Consider the following 23,410-nt stretch of genomic DNA (forward strand, 5'->3'; position numbering starts at 1 on the left):
ACAGGGCAGACATAAAAGGAAAAAGAATTACAAAGGAGCACTAATTTTAATATTTGGGAAATTGAAGTCTCTGTAAATGCATGAGAAATGTAAAGAAAATGATCAAACCACTCCCAGATTTTCCAAATCTCTTCAGGTTTGGCGGGCTTCATGTAGGCACGATTATGCACCTATGCGGCAGTAGATACCGCAAGGGCCCTGCAGTCCCACAGCTACCATGGAAAGGGATGTTCTTTCCCAGTACAACTGCCATCCGGTGCAGAGCTCAACTTCGTATATTTGAGCACACGAAGCAAATGCAGGAAATGAAAAAAAAAAACCGCATTGGCTGAATTTTTTTCTCCCAGTAAAAATAAATTGCAATGTTTTCTAACATTGTGATCGGACTTTAAGAATAAACATTAACCTAGCCACAAATACCTTTATGACTTATTCTCCAGGTGCTACGTTATAGAATTCGGAAGCCTGACATTTTTCTTCGGGTGGCCTCAAACTTCTTGACAGCAGTATTCCAAGCTATGCATATTTGAAATTAGTTTAAAAATTTCACTTGCTTTACCCGTGTGTGTGAAAACAATTGGGTGTTCACATAGCACTTAAAACAGCACAGGTGAAAAGCAATTACACGGTAGATTGGAAAAAATATCTGCAAATTGTAAACGGAAAGGCTCTTTGTTTAAATATCGAAAGTATCAATCGCAAGGGGCTACGTACAGAGATGTTACCTTATACATTCCTTTTGTTTGTTTGTTGTTAATAGAAATTTCATGAATATGTTGTAGACTAGAACACTACCACCTTTTAGTAAAACCATTCCTTTTCTCTGCATTCCCCTTTTCATTTGTCCCTTCTCCCAAGGACCAAAGCCAAAAATGAATTGATGGTTGAAATCTTATGAAACACTATGCAAAAACAAATATTTAAGTGAGATCTTCCCCTTTGATGTGGAATATCTTACAAAAGTTGATTTGGGGGAGCCTTTGTATATCTGGGAGTCGCATTTTGCGTCTTGGGAAATGGACCCTTGACATTTTTCGGTGTTTGTAAGAGAGATAGTAATGACGCAAGATTGTGAATAATTAATTATTCATGTTCTGGCAGTAGGAAGCTTAGGTGTCGGCCATATGCTGTGGAGCCCTTTGTCTCCAACTCGAGTAATAAGAAAAAAAAAATAGTAAGAAGTGTAACAGGGGAGTAAGCATTGAACTAGAGCCCTGGGGCGGGATGAAGGGGAAGGAGAGTGCATGACACTCTCAGCGAGAGCTCTCAGGCCTTCTCCTCACGCACAGGCACTAGCCTAGAGAGGCCTTAGTCCAGGGGGTGCTCCAGGCTCAGCTCAGGGGGTGGATTGGGGAGCGGAATACCAGCATCGTCAACCTGGAAAGCTTCAACTTGCTAGAAACGGAAAAGGCAGCGCGGGTGGGAAAGGCTCTCTAGTTGGGCCCGCCTGCAGCGGAGCAGCTCTCTGGTGCTGTGTTGCAGGAGGACACCGCGGTAGTCAGGGTAAAGCCCTGCTGGGCGCGTGTAGGAGTGGGAGGCGCCTACTCAGGTGCAGAGGAGGCGCTGGTAACCCCTGCCCTCACAAAATGCAGACCCTGCAGATCCTGCAAGAAAGTTAGGCCCAAGCGGCCTGTGTATCTCAATCAGAGCGCCCAGGGGTGGATCCCGAGATGGGGACTCGCTACCTTAGGCCTAAAGGTGTTAAAGTTGAAGAGACGCCGCCGCCGCGGCCAAGGGCACCTGCAGAATGTGAGAGAGCCTGGGAGGTCTTGCAGCTTGGTGTCACCCCACCACCCTAATCCCCGAGGGTGGGGGGAGGTCGACGGCCCTCCTCCCAACCCCGACGGGTCCTGAAAAATGGGAATGGGTCAGCATCGGGGGTACCTAAGCCGCCAAGTCCTTGACTCGCCCCTGCTCTGCCGCGCAGGGTGCTGGAGAAGAAGCAAGACACCGGGGAGACAATCGAGCTGACGGAGGATGGGAAGCCCCTAGAGGTGCCCGAGAGGAAGGCGCCGCTGTGCGACTGCACGTGCTTCGGCCTGCCCCGCCGCTACATTATCGCCATCATGAGCGGCCTGGGCTTCTGCATCTCCTTCGGTATCCGCTGCAACCTGGGCGTGGCCATTGTGGACATGGTCAACAACAGCACCATCCACCGCGGGGGCAAGGTCATCAAGGAGGTGGGCAACGTCTGGCCGCCCTGGCTCCTGCCCTTCGGCCATGCGGCCTCGCAAAACCACATCTCCTGTTTGAGCCCCGTTCCCCCGCCACTGAGAGGAAGGTTTGGGTGCTCCCTAAGCTCCTCTCTGGCTCTGCCGTTCTAGAATGGACCCCAGTAGTGTTATCAGTTCCCTTTTCGCTCTGCTGTCTGGGCCTCCCCTTCCTCAACTGCAAAGTGGAAAAGAGGGTCTAGCTCACCAGGTTTTGTGAACTGTGACTTAATACAAGACGTTGGTGACTAGCAATGTCCACTAAGTCTAAATAGAAGTGTGTTTGTTTTACTTGGATGAATAGTGTAGCATATTAATTATAGTTTTCCCAGGACTTCAGTCCCAGCCAAAACATTCTTAATATTCACAATGAAACAAACTGGAAAACAAAATCAGCTGTGTTCATATCAGCAGGTTCAGCTGAGTGGTCTTTCGGAAGGTTTACCTCCCCCAGGAGGAGCCACAACGTAAGAGGGTCCCAGGGTGGCAGGGAGTCGCGCCCAGAGAGGGGAGGGTCACGTCAAGGTCACAGAACCCCTGGGTCCAGACTTCCTTCTTAGAAACCCCAGCTGCCGTAAACCAGACTAAGCAGGAGTTGAGTGGAGAAACTGGGGAAGACTCTTGGAATCCGGGAGACCTTGCAAGATCCTCTGGGTGTCAAAATATTATTTAAAGGGGAAAAAGGGTCCCCAGTTCTCAGGCGGGAAAAGCGCGCTCCCACCTTTCGGATGTAAATATTGAGCCCCAGTTTACCTTGAGGTTCCCCTCGGGGAGTCACCCAGGCTGCTCAGGGCGGAATTAGACCTCCCTTCAGAAATACCCCTGCCCCGTATTTATTAAAACCCCTGAGCAATGACTCCCTCTCCCTTTACTCCTCCCATTTCACCGACTACTCCAAACTCTTCAGGCCCATATCCGTCCCCATTTGTGGGGACACGCTTTCTCTTAGCCACTAAAAGCCCTGCACCTTTCACCATTTGCTCCCCACCTTCCTTCCTCAGAATTTCCCGATTTAAGTCTCCAGGGTTGGAAGTCACTACACTACTGTGTCTGCATTGGCCGGATTCGTTAAGTGGACCCCTGACAGGCGTCTCCACATCTGGCTAACAAATCTCTTCATGGGGAGTCCGAATTTCCAAGACGGGGGCCCTCTAGATTCCTCCTTCATTCAGATGATTCGATCTGCCTGACAGTAGTCAGGGAGCAAAGCCAGTGCGCCTGGCCTCACTATTAATCACAATACATTTTGTTAATGAGCAGGGTTTTTTCGTTGCAAGAGGCAATTTTGTTAGGAAACGAAAATGAAGCCACTCTTATCCCCAGAATGCATGAAGCGCCCAAGCCTTGGGGGCTTTTTGGCTTGTGAACCACTGAAAGTGAGCCTTTGGTACTGACTCTACTCTTTCCCTTCACACTTTTTTCCTACCCCTCCATAGAAAGCCAAATTCAACTGGGACCCGGAAACCGTGGGGATGATCCACGGTTCCTTCTTTTGGGGCTACATCATCACTCAGATTCCGGGAGGCTACATCGCGTCTCGGCTGGCAGCCAACAGGTAATGCGCCAGGCGGGACTGGGGCTCGGGGCGTGGTGTTTGTTTCCTCCGAAGGGGCAGCAGAAGCTGGAGCAGAGACAACAGCCCAGAGGGGTTTGAGGACTCCCGGGCGAAGTCTTCTAGTCCCTTGACACACCCTCTCAGGGCTGGAGCTGCTGGTGACTCCTTCCTGAATTAGTCGCCTAAACGAATGTAGGCTCTCTGGGACCAGCGCACGCGGCCTCCTTCCCTCTGCTGTGGCTGAACTTGCTTTTGGCGAAATAATCGACGTGCTGTATGGCCTGACAGGAGCTGAGGGCAGACCGGGAGCAGGCAGAGCAGGGACAGTGCGCCTGAGTGCACAAAGGGGTGTAGAACGGCAGATGCTGCGCTCTCTCCTGCACTCCCCGCAGGCTCCCAGGCTCCCCGAGGGTCTGACCTCCTGGCAAGGCGCCTCGAAGACCTGGCCCCGTCCCCCGCCCAGTTGGTGCTCTGGGTATGAAGTATTTGTTTCTAGGGGGGCAGGCACCAGCGATGCGATTTCACCTGTTAATGAGCTGCGTAGGGGCGGGCGTTGGGGGAGCCCTCAGCTGCTTTCAGTGGCCTCCTGCCTTGCTGCGGTGTCCACAACCAAGGTCCTAGCGCCAGTTCCCAGAAGCGCCACCAACGGCACCTGGAGAGACACCCCTAAAGCATAAGACCTAAGGACCGATGGGGTGGAGGTGTCGAGGGGCACGCTTGGCCACCAGAAGGTGAGGGGCAGCTTCCTTTGCTTCACTGTGTGTACATTGATAAGCAAAACTAAATGCTCTTCACGTCTGAATTGTTGAACCCACACAGAACACATGCACCAGCTCTTTCTGGTCTTTCTGCTTAGATACCGCAAATAAAGACTTCCAGGCTTTATTGTACCTAAAACTTCATTCCTCTTCCTACACCCAAAACTCACATTTTAAAGGAAGAGGACTAGAAGTTGGCATCTCCCTAATAGTGGTCATATGCAACCTGGCCCTTTGTAACCTGGGCACACCTCATCTCTCAGGCCCCATACTGCATCTTTTGTCAATTACTATCCCTTTCACTAGCGGTGTCATTTCTGCCCAAGGCTTCTCAGAGTCCTCAGGGCCTGGGGAGGAATTCTTGGAAATTTATTTTAGGCTTAAGGATCCCTAGAGTGAGGGTTTTGGGGCAGTGCTTTAAAATGTCAAGAGGAGAGTGCCATACATTAGGAATAATGCCTTTCGAGTATCGTCTTTACTTGAAATACGGATGGCTGACACTAAGAGCAAGTAGTAGACAAACAGTCCCTTTAAAAAAATCAATTTATTGTGTATATGTACCACATTTTATTTATCCATTCATCTGCTGATGGACACTTGATGAAACTCATTAACTATGTAGAGAACCCCTTTTTATGGATGTGGTAAATCAAACAAAACATTGATAGTAGGCAAAAATTAAAGACATTCTGTCAAATATTATTGATTATGAGCATGTTATATTTTTGGTTTTTAGATCCCCAATATATATAGTCTTCACTCATTTTTTTCCCTAAAAAGTATTTCCTAAATTAAAACAAAGTTTTCAGAAAGATACCCTAAACATACATGCATGGAATGTTTTCACTGCAGGAGAAAAAAAAATCCAACAATTCACCAAAAAACAAAAATGATACAAGATCTCAATATGATGTCAAATGAAAATATAATGGTGGTGACTTTAAGGGTTTTTTTCAGAGTCAAAATATTCACCTTGTCAAATATTAAAATGCTAACATTTTCCTGCCGGGAAAAAACACCAGGGATGCTCCAGCTTTTCCTCTTTGTAACACTAGGAAGTCAGTAAACGGGTTTTTCCGATTATTTAAATAAAAAAAAAAAGCAAACTCATTATTATCTGTGTCATGTTTAGCAATGAAAAGAGTGATGCTGACTCAGGTTCTAATTTATCTGGTAGATTTTACTCAAAAGATTTTTTTTTTTTTTTGAGATGGATTCTCACTCTGTCACCAGGCTGAAGTGCAGTGGCACGAACTGGGCTCACTGCAGCCTCCACCTCCTGGGTTCAAGTGATTCTCCTGCCTCAGCCTCCCGAGTAGTGGGACTACAGGTGTGAACCACCACCCCCAGCTAATTTTTTTATAGAAAAAAATTTTAATTTTTGGAATTCCTATTTGGATCCAAATTAATCTTACCTTTAAATGGGTATTCAAGGGAAAGGCCTTAATATTTTCATATATGATATGTTATGTTCTATGATACTGAGAAAATTAAATTAAAAATGTATTGTAAAATATCATGAACCTATAGAAAATTATAGAGATCAACTACCTTATCTTGCCTGAAGATTCTGACATTTTGCTTCATTTTGAAAATATAACAAAACATTGCAAAATGCAGTTGAAGCCTTGTGTGAAAATGGTTTTTAAACATGTATAACATTTTCTTTTCATGTTATAACAATATTGCACATTAGTAAGAAAAAAATTATAAAAATGATAAAAATTTAATCAGCCTGATACCCCTATTATTAACATGGTGAATGTCCAACTAGTACTACAAATGCTACATAGAATTTTACCTTAGAAGACTTTTAATAAACACAAAATCAGAGATTTTTACAAGTTGTTTGAAAGACGTATATTTCCTATTATGATCTCTTTTTCAAAAACAGTAAAGACAAAACAGCAAAACCAATCTTCCACTTATGAGCATCATGTACCCATTCAAATAAGCTTCTCTATATTGATCACTTAAGAATAGAATGAGATTTCCTTTGCATGTGATATTGGGGACAGATTCCTTTCCCTCTAGGTGTAAAAGAGTCTCACTTTGGAAAGTTTTGCCACCACTGTTGTGGTGGAACTGAGGAAGATAAACTGAGGTGTGTGGAGACAGCCACTCAAGAGAGAAGGGCTCCTGGCTACATCTCTTGGCAAATTTCTCAATGAAAAACAAAGAGCAATTATTTGGCTTCTTCAGTTTATTGATTAAGCAAAGACAGCCCCACTCTTGGTCACAATGCAGACTCCTGGTTCTTATACTACTCAGATTCTAAGTATATTTACTTTCCTGATCATTGAGAGGAGGAGTTGGAAGAGTCAGGAGGGGAGTAAACCCAGTCTCAGAGGAAGGATGGCTCTTGCATCACTTTTTCCTTTGTCTTCCCTTAAAGAGCTATTGCACATTATGGGCTGGAGAATTTAGTCACCTCCAGGAAAGGCCTTAGGGTGGGGGGTCAAAGGAAAATTCCTTACAAAATCTTTAATGTTTTAAGATGAGAACATATTAATATGGTAATAAAAAAATGTGGGGGGCAAATTATTTTTGTCTTTAAATAATACAGGACATCGGCTTATAGTAATCCAGATATTTACAAATATGAAATTCCTAAGCACTGGTTTTACCCTGTATTTAAATTGCTGTGAAGAACACGGACACGTGTTTAATGGCATAAATAGCATATATATATATAATATATGAAATATATATAAATATATAAAATATATAAATATACATTTTTTTTGCAAAAGGCATAACCATAGAAGGTCAGATACAGCAAAGGGAGTTTGATGAACATTATATGTTTAATGTATAGCACTGTATCACAAAACTGTTTTGCCTTTATTTAGGTGGTGATATTATTTAAACTCTATTTAATATTTTTAATACCCTGCTCCTATCCTCTTGATTTCTCAACGCTGCTTTATTTTTTTACATGGCACTTATCACCACCTGTCATATCAATATTTTACTTATTTATCTGTTTCTCTAATGGTAGTTTTGCCCATGTTGTTGTTTTTTTCATTGCTATATTACTAGTATCTCAGAGAGTACCTGACTCATGATAAATACTCGTTAAATAAATAAAATAAATATCACAACAAGGTGTTTGGGGATTAAAAAAAAAAGCAGTAAGATTTAGGCTCTAAAGCCAAACTGTAGGTTCAGGCTCTTGAATGTGTTACTAAGTAACTGAATGATATAAAATGTGATTTATCCCCTTTACACCTTAGTTTGTATTTCTGTAAAGGAGGGCTAATCAAAGTACCTACCTCATGTGGGTCGTAACAGCTAAATATATGTAAAGTTTTCTGAAGTGCCTGGAACTAGGTAATTGCTTGCCGTTATTATTTAGTATTAATGAAATCTTAACTTTCGGGAAAAAAAAAGGAAGGAATAAAACCTCTGTGACTATTCAGCTTATTTTTGTATGAATTTACCTGAAGCATTAATAATGCAAATGGTTTATTTCTAGTGTGATAAAAATGCCTTTTTTCATGAGTCATATTTCTACCTTTAAAATTATTTTCCCATGTACATTATTCAAATTGAAATTATTGTTCACTAAAAATTCCGTAAATTTTATTTGAAGGCCTTTAAAGAGCTGTTTTAAAAATATTTTTAGCCAAGTGTATAGAGTGCTAATGATTCAGTACATCCAATCTTTGAATTCTAGCCAAGCATAAATTCACTTAGAGAAATCCATTTTAGCTTGAGGTTAGACTTCTCTATTCAAAGTTATAGTTTATTTTCCCCTACCGTAATCCTTTATTTTTGTGTTTTCAAGTATTTCTTGAATTTCTAACTTGACTTTTTCTAAAGAAAAAATACTTCTTTATTTGAGTAAGACACTTAGGATCACACTTGGTTGTAGCATATAGTGAACCCCACAACAGGAAGAACCCATATTATTGCTGGACAGAGCTCATCTAATCCAACCCTCTCATTTTACAGAGCAGGAAATAGAGAACTGAGGGAGTAGTGATTTATCTGAGGTCACAAAGGGATTGTGACTAGAACTCACTTGTCTGATGATACATGATGGCAAGGTACCTTTACAATGAAATTTAACATGTCTCTCTGATACTATATGCTTCATTGCAAAGTTTGCTTTCAGCAGTAGGCTGAGCCATCTGCTCTCTGAATGAGTGATTACAATCTATCATGCCCCAAATCCAGGGAAGAATTTCATGAATTAGCGAGAGAAGCCTTTAGCGGGCCCAAGGGATCCTTAGATTTTATTTTGGCAGGAGAATCATACTGAATTTTTTGTGTGTGTGTGTACTGGCTCCCAAGCTATTTGGTGACAACATAGCTGATTCTGCCCTTTTCTCCGCAAAAGGCAAACTCCACACTTGATAATGACTAAGATGAAGAATCTGATATTCTGTAACAGAGAACATGGTATTTATAACTTTTTCTGCCACGCAGACACCTTGTCAGTTTGGGCTCTTAGAACTAAAATTGCAGAGATTTGAACATGACTGGGTGTAGATTAGACTTTTGTCTGCAGAAATGAAGGGATTTATCCTTGGGGTTTTGACTGATGCAACTCAATTTACATGCTGTATAAAATAGAAAGTAATTTATACTTAAAAGTGAGCAAACCCAAAAGCATGGCTTTAAAATTTACTAGTGTACATTTGTATTTATAAAAATAAATTTTAATATACTTTAGGTAAATATTCTGGCTGGCATAATTATGAAACATCTCTTGTTAGAATAATTTTCGAAAGGAGAAGAAGACATTTTAAACATAATATCTTCATGTGTTAAGCCCAGAAAGGAGCAATTTTACTGGTGCTGTTCTGTCTTTTTTCTTCAGAGAGATGCAACAGTAAAGATGTGCTTTTATTTATTTGTTGGAATAAGCATTGGAAATGAATTCCTAAGCACCATCATCAAACACACACGGACACACAAACACACACATGCACACACACACACACGCTATTGGTCTGTCTATGTAATATTTTTTCCTCTCTACTTACCTATCCATTGCAACCTCCATTGCAAGAAGGAGTTCCTCAATCCTTCCAGTGAGAAATATTTGTGAATTCCTTATGTGTGAGAAAATAATTCAGACTATGAACATAAATCCTGCTGAAAGGGACCACCATCCTGTTCCAGTGGAAATGCTTTATAAGCACCCAGTCTTTTAAGGCCAGAGGTGACTTTTTCTATCTCGTGCATCTAGCTGCCAATCAAACATCTAGCTGCCTTCCTATTGTGGGCCCCATAGGTTAGGTATCTGGGGTAAGTCAGGAGAAGCCTGCATTTTTCTGACAAAAGAAAATACCCTTTACCATAAGATGAATAGATGGATTGAGGAGGGAGGGGTCTCCAAGGGCTTGCATGTACTTTGCCGATAAGAGTTTCTCTAGCTCTCTTTTCATTCTCCAATCCCTTACCCCTTACTAGCTCTGGCTTTTCCCGCTGCTGCAGCATTCTGCTACTGCAGTGCAGAGGCAGCTTCTGGAGGGGAGAGACATGATTTGAGGAAGGAGAGAGTCATGTGGGCAGCTGGTAGAGTGATGCTCCTACTGCCATATGCTACCACTGGGACTGTCTCATCTCTCTGTCATGAGTGATGAAGTCATTTTTACAACTTAATGATGTATCAAGGGACTCAGAGGGTTGGCTCATGCCTGTGTATTCCCTGTTTAATATGGGAGTGGGGGCATCAGATGTGACAAAGGGAGGCATCCAAGCCCTGATTTGATTAGATTAAATAGATTAAACAGCCTGAGTCAGTCTGCTGCAGACCCTCCAGGAAAGAATTAGTTCCACACCTGAGGTGAGGAACACTAGTCTCCTGTTAAGTGACAATCCACTGCCCAAATGGAAGTGGATTGATTGATTTAGGGAAAATGAACATCATCTGTAGAAGTGACAAGTCACCAGTGCTCCTTTCACCTTTTCTGGGCAAATCATTTTGGGGTGGGCTTGATACTTGAGGGTGTTTGTGGCTGTGGGTCATAGAAAATATGATTAGGAATTTCAAAGCGAACTCATTATGGGCCATATTGAATGCTAATCATCAGGCAGTTTGTGATACAGGTTTTCAGCAGCTGCATTTGCCTTTCCAAACATTTCTGTGTCATGATTACTATTACACCTCTTGATTTTGGCAATCTCTATAGTGGTATAGAGCTTCCTGCCATTTAAGAACATCAATGTGCATAAAATAATGACATATGATTATTTCATACTGTAAAAGAAGGGAAAGTGTATGTGTGTGTGACAAGTAGAAGAAAAGCAGAAATCAGGCTTTAACCTGATAATAATCAGCAAATTTATTTGAGAATGTTATTTGCTGCAGAGGAAATCACAAAAAAAAACCCAACAATTTTAAGTGGTTTTCAAATGGTTTATTATTTTGAAAACATCTTTAATAAGCAAATGGCCCTTATTTTATTTCACAGCGACTGTAATACTGTCCTTTGAAAAATTAAGAACACCCATCAATTTCTATGTCTTTTCTTAAGAAATAATAAAATTGTTATTTTACACATTAGTTTGCACATTTCTTTCCTTTTTTTCCCCAGCCCAATTACTGACAGCCTATCTCTGACTTATATTCACACCAGAAGTGGGTTTTAAATCTAACACCTTAGGTGCCAATTATAAGGAGAAAGATCTTAAGTGAAATGAAATACCAGACTGCTTGAGATTCATCTTACTATTTAGAACTTCAATTTCAGCTATATATATATGTGACTTCTTTATTTCTTCTGAGAAAGCCATGTTTTACTGAGTTTACTGTTAAAAATTGTGTAATTTGCTAGAGTATTTCATTGATAGTTTGTTTTCATATATAGTGATAAAAATATACTGCCTGATATTATATAAAACTTACTTTTACAATTTAAAAAATCAAAAAATAAATATTTAATTTTACAAAATGTATTTATTTCTAGAAAATGCTTTTTCTAGAGTGGAAAGAGAATATATAAATTATATTATAAAATCATCTTCATAATTGCCTTTGTTTTACATTTCGGGAGGCAGGTGAAATTAGAATTGAATCAAATAATAAGTATATATATCACAAAATTCGTAATGTACATTATCTTTATCCCGCACATGACTCTATAAGGCAGACATTCTTTCTTTTATTATATTTCAGATTCAAGGGATACATGTACAGGCTTGTCATGTGGATAGATTGTGTAATAGTGAGGTTTAGGCTTCTAGGGTACCCATCACCTAAATAGATAATTATATCTAAGAGATAATTTTTCCACCCTCACCACCACCCCAAGCACTCTCACACTCTTCTCTTTTGGAGTCCCCAGTGCCTATAATTTCTATGTTTATGACCATGAAGGCAGGCATACTGATACTTCTTTTACTCTTGAGAAAACTGAATACAGAATCGTTTTCCCCGATACACTAGATGGTATGAGGCAGAGCTGGGTTATGGACCCCAGGATGTCTGATTTCAAATTATATCATTCTTTACTAAACACATTTCTCTTATTAAATATTTTTACTGTGTGTTTTCTTTAAAAACATTGTATTTTACAGCTTCTTAAAAAAATCACTATATTATTTAGTGCTGGGCTAGGTAAATAGGAAAGAACTAGCCTGTGGAACAATTTTGAGAAATGATTTACTTGGGAGGTTTTCATTGTTAGACAAGTTTTTGATCAGAGAATAACTTTAAAACGTTTTAATGATGAACATCATTTTCAGGGCAGTAGTGCTGTGAAACCCAATTATAAGTGTCAAAGTTAAGAGTAATCCTAGGGATAATAAAACTCACATGAACATTAAATGTTTCTTGTTATATAATCTATTTCCTTCTGTCTGCTAATATACAGAAAATATATTTAATGCTTCTGTCTTCTAGCATCAGACCAAACAAAAATGATGAAACAAGCATAATATAATATATATAACTATATTAAGTATTAATGAATGGTGAGGTTCTTTAAGAGGACACCTTATCGCCTCTGAAGCATTATTTCCTAATTTAATTTTGAAAGCAGAGCTTCAGAGACAGTGGTTTCAGAGGCTGATGAGGATCTAGTGATGAACAGGCAGTAACAGGCAATGTGATGGCTGCTAGTTTCAGGGGATTCCAGTGTTCTTTGCAAGATGCAAGACTGAGGCCACACTGGGTCATGTACTTGAACTCAGCAACTATCTCAAGTGAGGATTTATCTACAGGAGTACTCTAAATTATAGCCCATAGCTGTCAACCTACAGTTATTCTATGAAAATAACTCAGCTTCCTAGAATTGATAGGATACCCAGAACAGCAGTCTGTCCCTATTAAAAGCTAGAGAAGAAATAAATGATAAACTGCTTGAAATAAATATTCATAGAAGAAAGATCTGTTATCACCTACATATACCTCAGAAGAGGAAGTTATAATTACCCTCAGTTGAGAGTCTTTGCACAAAAAGAATTGGATGCTCATTCCTGAGAACATGCCATATGAAAAGCATTGTGCTAGCACCATGGAGTTTAAAGAAGTGGAGACCTGGACCCAATTCTCCAAGAGAAAAAATAATGGGACGGCTTGGGGAATGTACAACCTCATGAGTTAAGTCTTACAAAGGTGATCTACAGTAGTTTAGCAATATCTGAGAGGAGACTAGTTGAAAAAGAGGTGTGTTTTTGAGGGTGGGGGCATGAGTGAGTATTGAAGGATAAAGTGGAAGGACACTGAGACAGTTATTGATTTAAAAAAGACTGTGAATTTTCTTTTCTGGTCATTTCCCATGAGATACTTTAGATGGACTATTGAGGCACAGACTAAGAGGCTGATGCATTTCAATCAATTCTGTATGAATTCAGAATGGAAGATAAAATTCCCATTACATGTCTTCTGCACTTAATGAAAGCTGCTAGAATTTCAGCCTGATATGGAACAACCATGTGTTCACGGGCACAGAATTAACACTATTTAATCAGTGCAAAATCATTCTGGAGAAAAAGATGCGAAATAATCATTCTTTGAAAAGTCTATTAAAGATTAGGAAATTTCTGTATAATAATGGCTAACCTTGACAAGCCATTTATTATGGACCATACAGTGTCCCCTTTCATAATTGATTTATTTAGTCTTCATGATACTTTTTTGAAGTATGGAAACATTTCCATTATACAGACCAAGAAATGAGGCTAAGAGAATTTAAGTTATGACAACTTGCCCAAAGTCATACTTAGCAAGAAATTAGAATTTTAATTTGGATTTTCACAGTGTAACCAAAACAAAACAAAACAAAACAAAACAAAACCTCTCATTCTTAACTAATACTATATCATACTATTTAAATGCCTACAAGGAACAGACTGAGAAATGAGGCTAAAAGAATTTAAGTAATGACAACTTGCTCAAAGTCTTACTTAGCAAGAAATTGGAGTTGGAATTTGGATTTTCACAGGGTAATAAAAAAAGAAACTTGTCTTTTTAACTAATACTGTATCATGCTATTTAAATGTCCCCAAGAAAAATATGGCAGCTGCTCAGTCAATTTGGTCAATAAGAATGGTCAAAAGCAGAACAGAGAACTTCATTTTCATTTTTGATCTAACAATCTAATATCCATTTGTGTTTTTTAAAGGACATCTTCCATTTTAGCAATGTTTCTATTCTACCCTTGCCTCTACCCTCTATAACAAAATGTAAGCCCTTTGTTTCCACTATGTCCAACTTTGTCTAGCTTTGTTTTTTCTAGGTCTGGGTCTTCACCCCATATCTGCCCCTTTTGTGATGTCCTGGGGGAATATCTGGCATGGTACTGCTAAACCAATGATTCCCAAAGCAGAACAAGAAATACTAGAATAACCTGGGAACTGGTTAGAAATGCAAATTCTCAGGCCCCAAACACATCTACTGACTCAGAAACTCTAACACCTAGCAATCTGTATTTTAACAAGGCCTAGGTTTATATCATGCATGTGAAAGTCTAGAAACTACTGTGCTAAACAATTTATATTTTTTTTCTTCTTTTTTTTTTGAGACAGAGTTTTGCTCTTGTTGCCCAGGCTGGAGTGCAGTGGCACGATCTCAGCTCACCACAACCTCTGCCTCCCGGGTTCAAGTGATTCTCCTGCCTCAGCCTCCTGAGTAGCTGAGATTACAGGTGCCCACCGCCACACGCAGCTAATTTTTGTGTTTTTAGTACAGACGGGATTTCACCATGTTGGTCGGGCTGGTCTTGAACTCCTGACCTCAGGCGATCCACCCACCTCGGCCCCCAAAAATGCTGGGATTACAGGCGTGAGCCACCGCGCCCGGCAATTTTATACTCTTAAAATTCTTTTTCATATTCAGTTCCACTACTTCTTTCATTTCTTTTTGAAACTTATACTTCGTTTAAGAAAATACAAAACTTTCATAAATGACCCTCTCCATTTAACTACTTACTTCAAAACATAAGAGAGATGGGGTAGAATTCTGCTTTCACTTCCCACTGCTACTACCATCCATCTTTCAATAAAATTTTCATCTTTCAAAGTTTATGTTATTTTATATATTGCTGTTGGCATTGTTAATGCCAGTACTCATTCTGCGGCTATTACAGTAAGTAGATCTTAGTGGTTAGATATCCAGGATCTACAACAGATAAGTAATGTAAACCATAGTTCTCTACTTACTATCTATATGATGTTGGCAAGTTATTTTTACTCACTCGGACATGGTTACACCGTCTGTGAAGTAAAGATGGCAGTAAGAGCTTTCTAATATTGTTGTTCAGTAAAAATGAGAATCTAGAAGTGATATCCACACTAACAATTCAATAACAATTGACAACTACTGTCTCTACCTGACTGGCTCATAGTTATGAATTTATTGTCATATGTCAAGCATCAGACTAAGTCCTTTAGGTACACCATTCTATTTAGCCTAACAGTAATCCTAAGAGATACAACACATTAGTATTATTATCATGCAAGTTCCAACATTCTTTAAATGCTTAGAGTGTGCCAGCCATTCTTCTGGTTGTTTTACTTCAAATAACTCATAGGTTCTGTTAATATTCCCATTGTTTAGATGAGAAATGAGGAACAGAAAGTTACATAAGGTGCTCAAGGTCACTCAGTAATAAGTGTCAGATGAACTGTGAACCCAGGCAGTCTGGCTCAGGAATCCATGCTCTGAACCATTACCTAGTGATGTCGTTTTTAAAGACAAGGAAGCAGAAGTTTAGGGAAGTTAAACAACGTACTAGTTACATAATTATTAAGTGACAAAGCTGGGGTCCTACAAAAATTACTGTAGCATTATATCAGCCTTTCCCCCCACCCTCTTCTACCATTAGTGACTTTGACCCCTTGCTCCTCTGCAAGCCATCATCCTGGCTGAACTTAGGTGGTTGTTAACCACCTCCTGCTTCCTGGCTTTTAGACCCCTCTCTCCTCAATCCCACTAAGCTTCACACTTACCTCACTTTAGGGGTATAATTGTCACCCTCTGAAGTCACCCCAAACTCAATAATCTCCAAGATGTCACAGACTGATGGATTTCACCCTTCACCTTCTTGGACTATCTAACACTTCCTCAAAGCCTCCTCATCCAGCATCCCACTCTAGATGTTCTTCCTTCTCCTAAGAACCTGAGCCACTATGTTCAGCCATTTTCAATACTTCCTTAGTTTCTGGTACAGAAGGTAACCTCTTCCATTTGTGAAGCTTTGCTGAGCCATTCCTTGTTTTTGGAAAGTCTTTCTTCTTTTTTATATTAATCTTTGAAAGTTTCCCTACCAAAGGTTTGTGACTTGGTCAATTCAGCTGAGATGAATGTTTTCCTCTGTTGTTTTCTATCTGTACTTCTGTTGTGGCCTTTGGCACACATTGTCTCTGGACTACTGGTCTCTCCCTCTCCTACTACACTGAGGTCCATCCTCTTCTTTTTCTAAGTGCCTGCTGACATCATGTGACTGAAAGAGCACAGATTTTCATGTCAGAGAGCCCTGGATTTAAATCTGAGCTTTACTACTTGCTTTTTTTCTTGGCCACACTTTGTTTCAATTTCCTTATTTATAAAATGAGAGGAAAGTGTAACAACTCAGAGAGTTGTTGTGAGAATTAAATGAGTCAATACAAATGGAGAAATTACAGTAAATGACCTGTAACTCTTACCTTCTCTTCCACACAATACTCTCCTGTGAATATAGTCTCACAGATGTTTGAAGTGTAAATGCATGAATGAATATTGAATGGGGAGGCTGCTTCAATTTTGGCTGTGTGGCAAGACAAGGTGTAAAGGCTTTCCATTTAGGGCAAGAATTTTGATAATCAGAATTTTAATTACTTAGATATTAATTAGGATAACAATTATATAAAATTAAATAAGAAGATGAGATTTGTAAAGTTTGATGGATTCTTAACTAGTTACAGGGAATTCAATGGATTTTGAGATGAAGCGCCCACTAATAATGAAAAAAAGGATAGATAAAGAAATTAAGAGACCAGGCATGGTGGCTCACACCTCTAATCTCAGCACTTTTGAAAGCTGAAGAGGGTGGATCACTTGAGGTCAGGAGTTCAAGACCAGCCTTGTCAACCTGGCAAAACCCAGTGTATACTAAAAATACAAAAAATTAGCCAGGCATGTTGGCGTGGGCCTGTACTCCAAGCTACTCAGGAGGCTGAGGCATAAGAATTGCTTGAACCCAGGAGGCAGAAGTTACAGTGAGCAAAGATAGTGCCACTGCACTCCAGCCTGGGTGACAGAGTAAGACCATGTAGAAATTAAGGAACTTAAAATTAAAACCACTTCAATTATGCCATGATATTGTATAATTAGAAACATTATTCAGAGTAAGAATGAAAAGTAAACATTAAAAGTAATCTTTTGGCATTTTATTTCAGAAATAATAGTGTGATATCAAGTGGCTTTGTGAAGATTATCATTTAAATTTACAGTTTGAATGCTGAAGTATATTACTAACTACCTAGTATATGCATAATCAGGTATAAATCCTAGTGGCAAAACTCATTGGGTTTTAAATAAAACAGAACTATATCTGAAACAGGTTTCCTCTACTTAAAACTGGTTAAGCACCTGAACTAGTGATTTTACTTATCTTAGGTTTAGTTTCTCCATCTATAACATTGGTATATGTTTTAATGGATATATGGTATAATGAATAATACCCATGTCTCTGGGTTGTTAGGTGCTTGTGGAGTTTATGGCATGTGAAGCGTTAATATGGTATCTAGCAAGTCGAATAAGCACTCATTAAATTTAGCTCTGACTATAGTGTACATTCAACAAATAATTCATACTTGATTCAGCTTTACTAAGGGGGTGATTTTTCTTGCAGGGAACATTTGACAATTACTGAAGACATTTTTGGTTGCCATAACTTAGAGGAGGGGTGTGTGCTACTGGCATCTAGTGAATAAATGCCAGAGATGGTGCTAATTGTCATACAGTACACAGGACAGCACTCCACAACAAACGGTTATCTACGCCCAAATTTCAATCATGAAGAGGTTAAGAAACTAAGCTAAAGAATGGGTAATATTCATCTCTCACCAGCTTATCACGAGACAATCGTATTTACAAACCCTTCAAAAAGGGAGAGACAGTGATGATAGAATGTTACATTCACAGAAAATAAAATTTATTCATCGTACCTCTAAAACAATTATAATAAAATAAGACACACATATTAGCTAAACCTGGATAAAAGTTTGTCCTCAAACCTTAGCATGCAAAATTATCTTTGGCTTAAAACAAAAGGACATCTATTTTGGGCAAACAGCACAGAGGAAGAATGGAGCAGAATATTCACTTCATGAGTGATCATTTATCTCAGTGGAGAGAAGCCACTAAGGGAAGGCGGGTACAGGCTACATATATTTTTACACAAAATTATTTGGCTAGTATATAATCAATAGAAAAAGTTTTAATTCACTGCTGTTTGGGATGTCATTTCTCACCTTTCTGTAGCTGATTAATAATAATCATAGAGGGTCCTTTTCAGAAATCCAGGTCTTTAACAGTAACATTTAAAAGTGCCCACAAGAAAGATTAGAGCTTCTATGAGGCAACCAACATTGACTGAATTTAAGGCTCGTGTTTGGCTTGATAAAATTTGCCTAAAATATATAGATTAGCTCATTGGAGTTAGCACGTCCCAAAACATCTTTGCAAGGGAATAGTTATAAAGTAACCGAGCTAAAGGAATACTTTTCTTACTTGGTATAAACATTATAGAAGTGTTTGTTTGTTTGTTTGTTTGTTTGTTTTTTGAGACAGAATCTCACACTGTTGCCCGCCCAGGATGCAATGGTGCGATCTTGGTTCACTGCAACCTCTGCCTCCTGGGTTCACGCAATTCTCCTGCCTCAGCCTCCTGAGTAGCTGGGATTACAGGCGCACACCACCACAACCAGCTAATTATTTGTATTTTGTGTAGTAGAGATGGGGTTTCACTATGTTGGCCAGACTGGTTTTGAGATCCTGACCTTGTGATCCGCTCGCCTCGGCCTCCCGAAGAAGTGCTGGGGTTTACAGGAGTGAGCCACTGCACCCGACCAGAAGATTTTTTTTTCTTTTTTTAACGAAGGAATGGAATTTTTACTTGTAGATGGATAAAAGCTTTAGCATTACGTTTCTGGCATTTTTTTCTTGAATGGTTGTATGTAGGCTGCTCGAGATGTGTCTCAAACAGAAGAAAAAAATGAGAAACCTGAGAGAGATATACTAAGTATAATTATTTGCATTATTTCGAGAACATGTGCTAAGGGATTTAATCAAGAGACTTCTTGGTTCATTTAAAATACGAGTTCATTTATAAAATTTCTCTGTATGTGCAGCTTCTAGGAAAGCTACAAGTAGTTGCATAATGTGAGGAATAACTTTATTTATGCATTCATTATTTCCAGTAACTCTTCAGTTATTACCAACTGTGTGTCAGGCACTGTGCTAAGTGTCAAGGATACAATGGATGTGAAAAACAAGCTCTTACCCTTAAGCAGTTTACATTGTAGAATGAAATAGAGTCCAAAACATATATTGATTTATTAAATATTTATAATTTGTAATTAAGTCTATAAAGAAAATAATAGTATAACCAAATGTATTGACTCCTTTTATTTTTTGAAGCATCAAATATAGAATTTCTAGATGGCCCATGTATATATTCACAATGGCTAGCCTGTTAAGTCCAGAACATATATTAGAAAAAACAATCTACCTTAAAATTATTGGCGATTTTTTTATTACTTTAAATGTTTCACTTCTCCTGAGAAATTTAGATATGTATATATAAGATGCTGAATCATTTAAACAGTGTTCTCATCTTTTCTATTTCAGGGTTTTCGGAGCTGCCATACTTCTTACCTCTACCCTAAATATGCTAATTCCATCAGCAGCCAGAGTGCATTATGGATGTGTCATCTTTGTCAGAATACTGCAGGGACTTGTTGAGGTATGTAACTTCAGGGTGAAGCCTTTTTAAGATTGGCATTTGGTTGAGAACCACCAGTTTATCTTTGTCTTTATCTGTAAATAAATATATTGTATTAGGTTGCATCTAAATAGAGTTAAAATAAAAAATGAAACACTGGAAATGTTAGACAGTCAGATATTTTGTCCATAAATGATATGAAACCATGAATATCACTGCTTATCTCCTTCTCTCTAGAATTGAGTGGGATTAAAGAAATATTTTAATGCCTATTTGACTTAAAAAAAAACAGGGACTTTTGTTAATGTGTCATGACAAGAATTTTAGAGTTTGTCCTTTGCTGGTGATAACCATGAATTAGTATCTTGGGAGTTTTATACTAAGTAAGTTCCTGATGGCCTTGAATCACGATATGAGTTTTCACTGAAATATTTCATCGAATGCATTTTTGAGGCATTCAATTCTAATGATCAACTCTTGCTCCATCAGCCTGCAGACTTTGAAAGAATTCCACTTAAAAACTCGAGTTCGGCTTACCAATTTCCCCTTCTCTTTCCATGGAGTATAATGGAAATAGATAAATAATGTAAAATATTAAGGCACTAAAAAAAAAAAAACCCTTTCTCATACTATGCAGTCATAAAAAGGAATGAGATCATGTCCTTTACAGAGACACAGATGGAGCTGGAAGCCATTATCCTCAACAAACTAATGTAGGAACAGAAAACCAAACACTGCATGTTGTCACTTATAAATGGGAGCTGAACAATGAGAACACATGGACACAGGGAGGGGAACGACACACACTGCAGCCTATTGGGGAAGGGCAGTGTAGGGAGAGCATTAGGGAAAAGAGCTAATGAATGCTGGGCTTAATACGTAGGTGATGGGTTGATAGGTCCAGTAAACCACCATGGCACACATTTACCTATGTGACAAACCTGCATATCCTGCACATGTACCCCAGAACTTAAAAAAATAATAATAATAAAAAACGAAACCAAAAAACCCGCTCTCCTTCCCCCCCCCCCAAAAAAAAGATAGGTTCAAAATAACAGAAAAAGACTAATAATTTTAAAGGTCTTAAATTTTAGACACTGCTTTCAGGAAGTGTGAGCTCCAAGGATCTAAACTTCACTTTTCTCTGTATAGATATTTATATTTGGAATTTACTGAATTTAATGCCCTACAAAATGATCTCCCAAATTTTTTCAAACTGTTCAGAATTGCAGATAAATTGATTAATATACAGTCTTTTCTTTTACCTTAATCAGAAAAAAAGAAAATTGAGGTGGAAGGAAGTCTGAAGGGCAGGGAGGATTTGTACAGGATACTAAAAAGACTCTTGATCCTAAATGGTGACAGTGATGAGTATCTTCCCCCATCACAGGGTGTGACCTACCCAGCATGTCATGGGATATGGAGCAAATGGGCCCCACCTCTAGAGAGGAGTAGACTGGCAACCACCTCCTTTTGTGGTGAGTACTGTGTGCAGATGCAGCTATGGTGGCTAAAAGTTTAGGAACAACTTGAATAAGAATTGAAAATTTGGTAAACTCACCTGTAAAACCATCTGGGTTTTGTATGAACATCTGTGAGTGGTAAGGTTTTTGACCACCATTTCCATTTCTTTAGTTTTATTGTTTTGCTTAAATCTTCTATTTATTCTTGTGTTTGTATTTTTCTAGGAATTGATCCATTTCATCTAGGATTTCAAATATATTCATGGGTGGTTTTTATAATACTCTTATACTGCAGTCCATTTTTTTGAGAACCTCAGTATTTTCTTTTTATTATACCTAGACACAAAGATATAAAAATACAAATTTTAAACACATTTACAGAGATAAAAACATAATTAGACTATGTATTTATTTTTACAAATAAATATTAAATTTACTTTGAACTCTGCCTGGGGTTAAAATCTAACAGTTTCTCAGAATTTATATTTAATACAGCTATATGTTTGAATTATAGTGAATAAAATGCCTATAGAAAATAACTATTATAATTTAAATTAATTAAATTAATGTGATCTTTAAGTATTCTCCTAAGCACTGTTGCTATAATTTCCCATTCATTGGAACTTTTATTTTTGGGATCAAAACTGACCTTACTACTATTTTGGGAAATAGAATTAATGAACATGTATTAAAGCTTCAATCCCAGCTTTTGAAGTGTAGAGCTCTTTCTGCTAATCTGAAGCTACTTTTTGTTTGTTGCTAACTTTTAAAACATTTTAAGACAATCAGTTTAATTTAAGGTCATTTTGTGCCTTCAGAATGCACGTTTTACTCTTTCTACCAGAGCAGTAAGGCAAGAGAGCAATTCCCTTTCCAAATCAGATATTAGAACTGCTGTAAATAATGCTAGTAATAGGAAATTAAGGCTGCTGTGATTTTGCTGTATACTTAAGCCATAAGGTTAACAGTATTATTGCCTGTAGCATTTGAATTTACATGCATTTGAGTCTAAATCACAGGGCATAAATATTGCCATTTCTGTCTATATGTCTAAGACCTTTTTTTTTTTACAATTGCCTTTAATAACCCACTATGTAAAATTCAAAGAGATATAAATTAGGTGATATTCACTAGAAAAGCTAATGAATGCTACCTATTATCATGAGAATTGTCAGTATGTTTTAAACTATTTTATGGGACAGCAAAGAAAACAAATTTGCCATAGGGGAAAAACGTGATAACTTACCTTGATGACATCTTCTGGCCATGCTTTGAGAACTGAAGCAATATGCCTTCAATCATGGATACTAACAAAGAGACCGCTGGCAGAGAAAAACAATTAAAATGAAGTCAGTAAAAGCTACACAAACATGAAACTGCACGAATTTGCTACAAGGAGATACATGCTTGAGGTCGCAAGAATAGATTTTAGGTGTCTGGTTAGTATTGCCATACTCTGTCCCAAGTCCAGCACACAGACATGCAGGACACATGCCAATCAGCATGCCAGTCAGCATGTCTCCATTATTATTTTTAAATCTCTGTTGTGTCTTGGGTAGGAGGTAGGTGTTATCCACTTGTGTAATCCCGTGTTCCTGTGTACGTATGTAGACATATATGTGTTTGGTGATGGAGGGTATGTGCATGGGTGTGAGGCCCATGTACCTGAGTGTTCCAGCGTCTGTGTGAATCAACAAAGGAATGTGAGATGATATCAATAATTTCTACTGATTTCACTCACCTTTCTCCCATTCTTCCTTACACTTTAGGTTCCTATGCCGGAGCTGTGATTGCAATGCCTTTAGCTGGCATTCTTGTGCAGTACACTGGCTGGTCTTCAGTGTTTTATGTCTACGGTATGTTATATTTCTATGCAATAGAGTTAAAGGAAATGTGCATAGGCTAAAAGAAAATGGTTGCAGACAATGAGATCAATCACTAAATACATTTCTATGTTTACTTACTTATTTTCTTCTCTTAAGAATCCTTCCATTGTATTCTGAGAGGATTAGGAAAATATTTCATCTCTGTTATTTTTCTT

At 38.7% G+C, this 23,410-nt stretch overlaps 1 protein-coding gene across 1 annotated transcript in view; it reads left to right on the forward strand.

The window, feature by feature from the left end:
* SLC17A6 (solute carrier family 17 member 6) overlaps window positions 1-23,410 on the forward strand; it is a 41,123-nt gene that overhangs the window by 1,220 nt on the left and 16,493 nt on the right. Inside the window, exons 2-6 of the mRNA NM_020346.3 lie at window positions 1,928-2,180; window positions 3,647-3,765; window positions 19,813-19,927; window positions 21,297-21,384; window positions 23,139-23,225. Of these exons, the coding sequence (NP_065079.1) occupies window positions 1,928-2,180; window positions 3,647-3,765; window positions 19,813-19,927; window positions 21,297-21,384; window positions 23,139-23,225 (662 nt within the window). The remainder of the gene's footprint in view (window positions 1-1,927; window positions 2,181-3,646; window positions 3,766-19,812; window positions 19,928-21,296; window positions 21,385-23,138; window positions 23,226-23,410) is intronic.

This window comes from Homo sapiens, chromosome 11, assembly GCF_000001405.40.
Source record: "Homo sapiens chromosome 11, GRCh38.p14 Primary Assembly".
In the NCBI taxonomy this organism is placed as follows: Eukaryota; Metazoa; Chordata; class Mammalia; order Primates; family Hominidae; genus Homo; species Homo sapiens.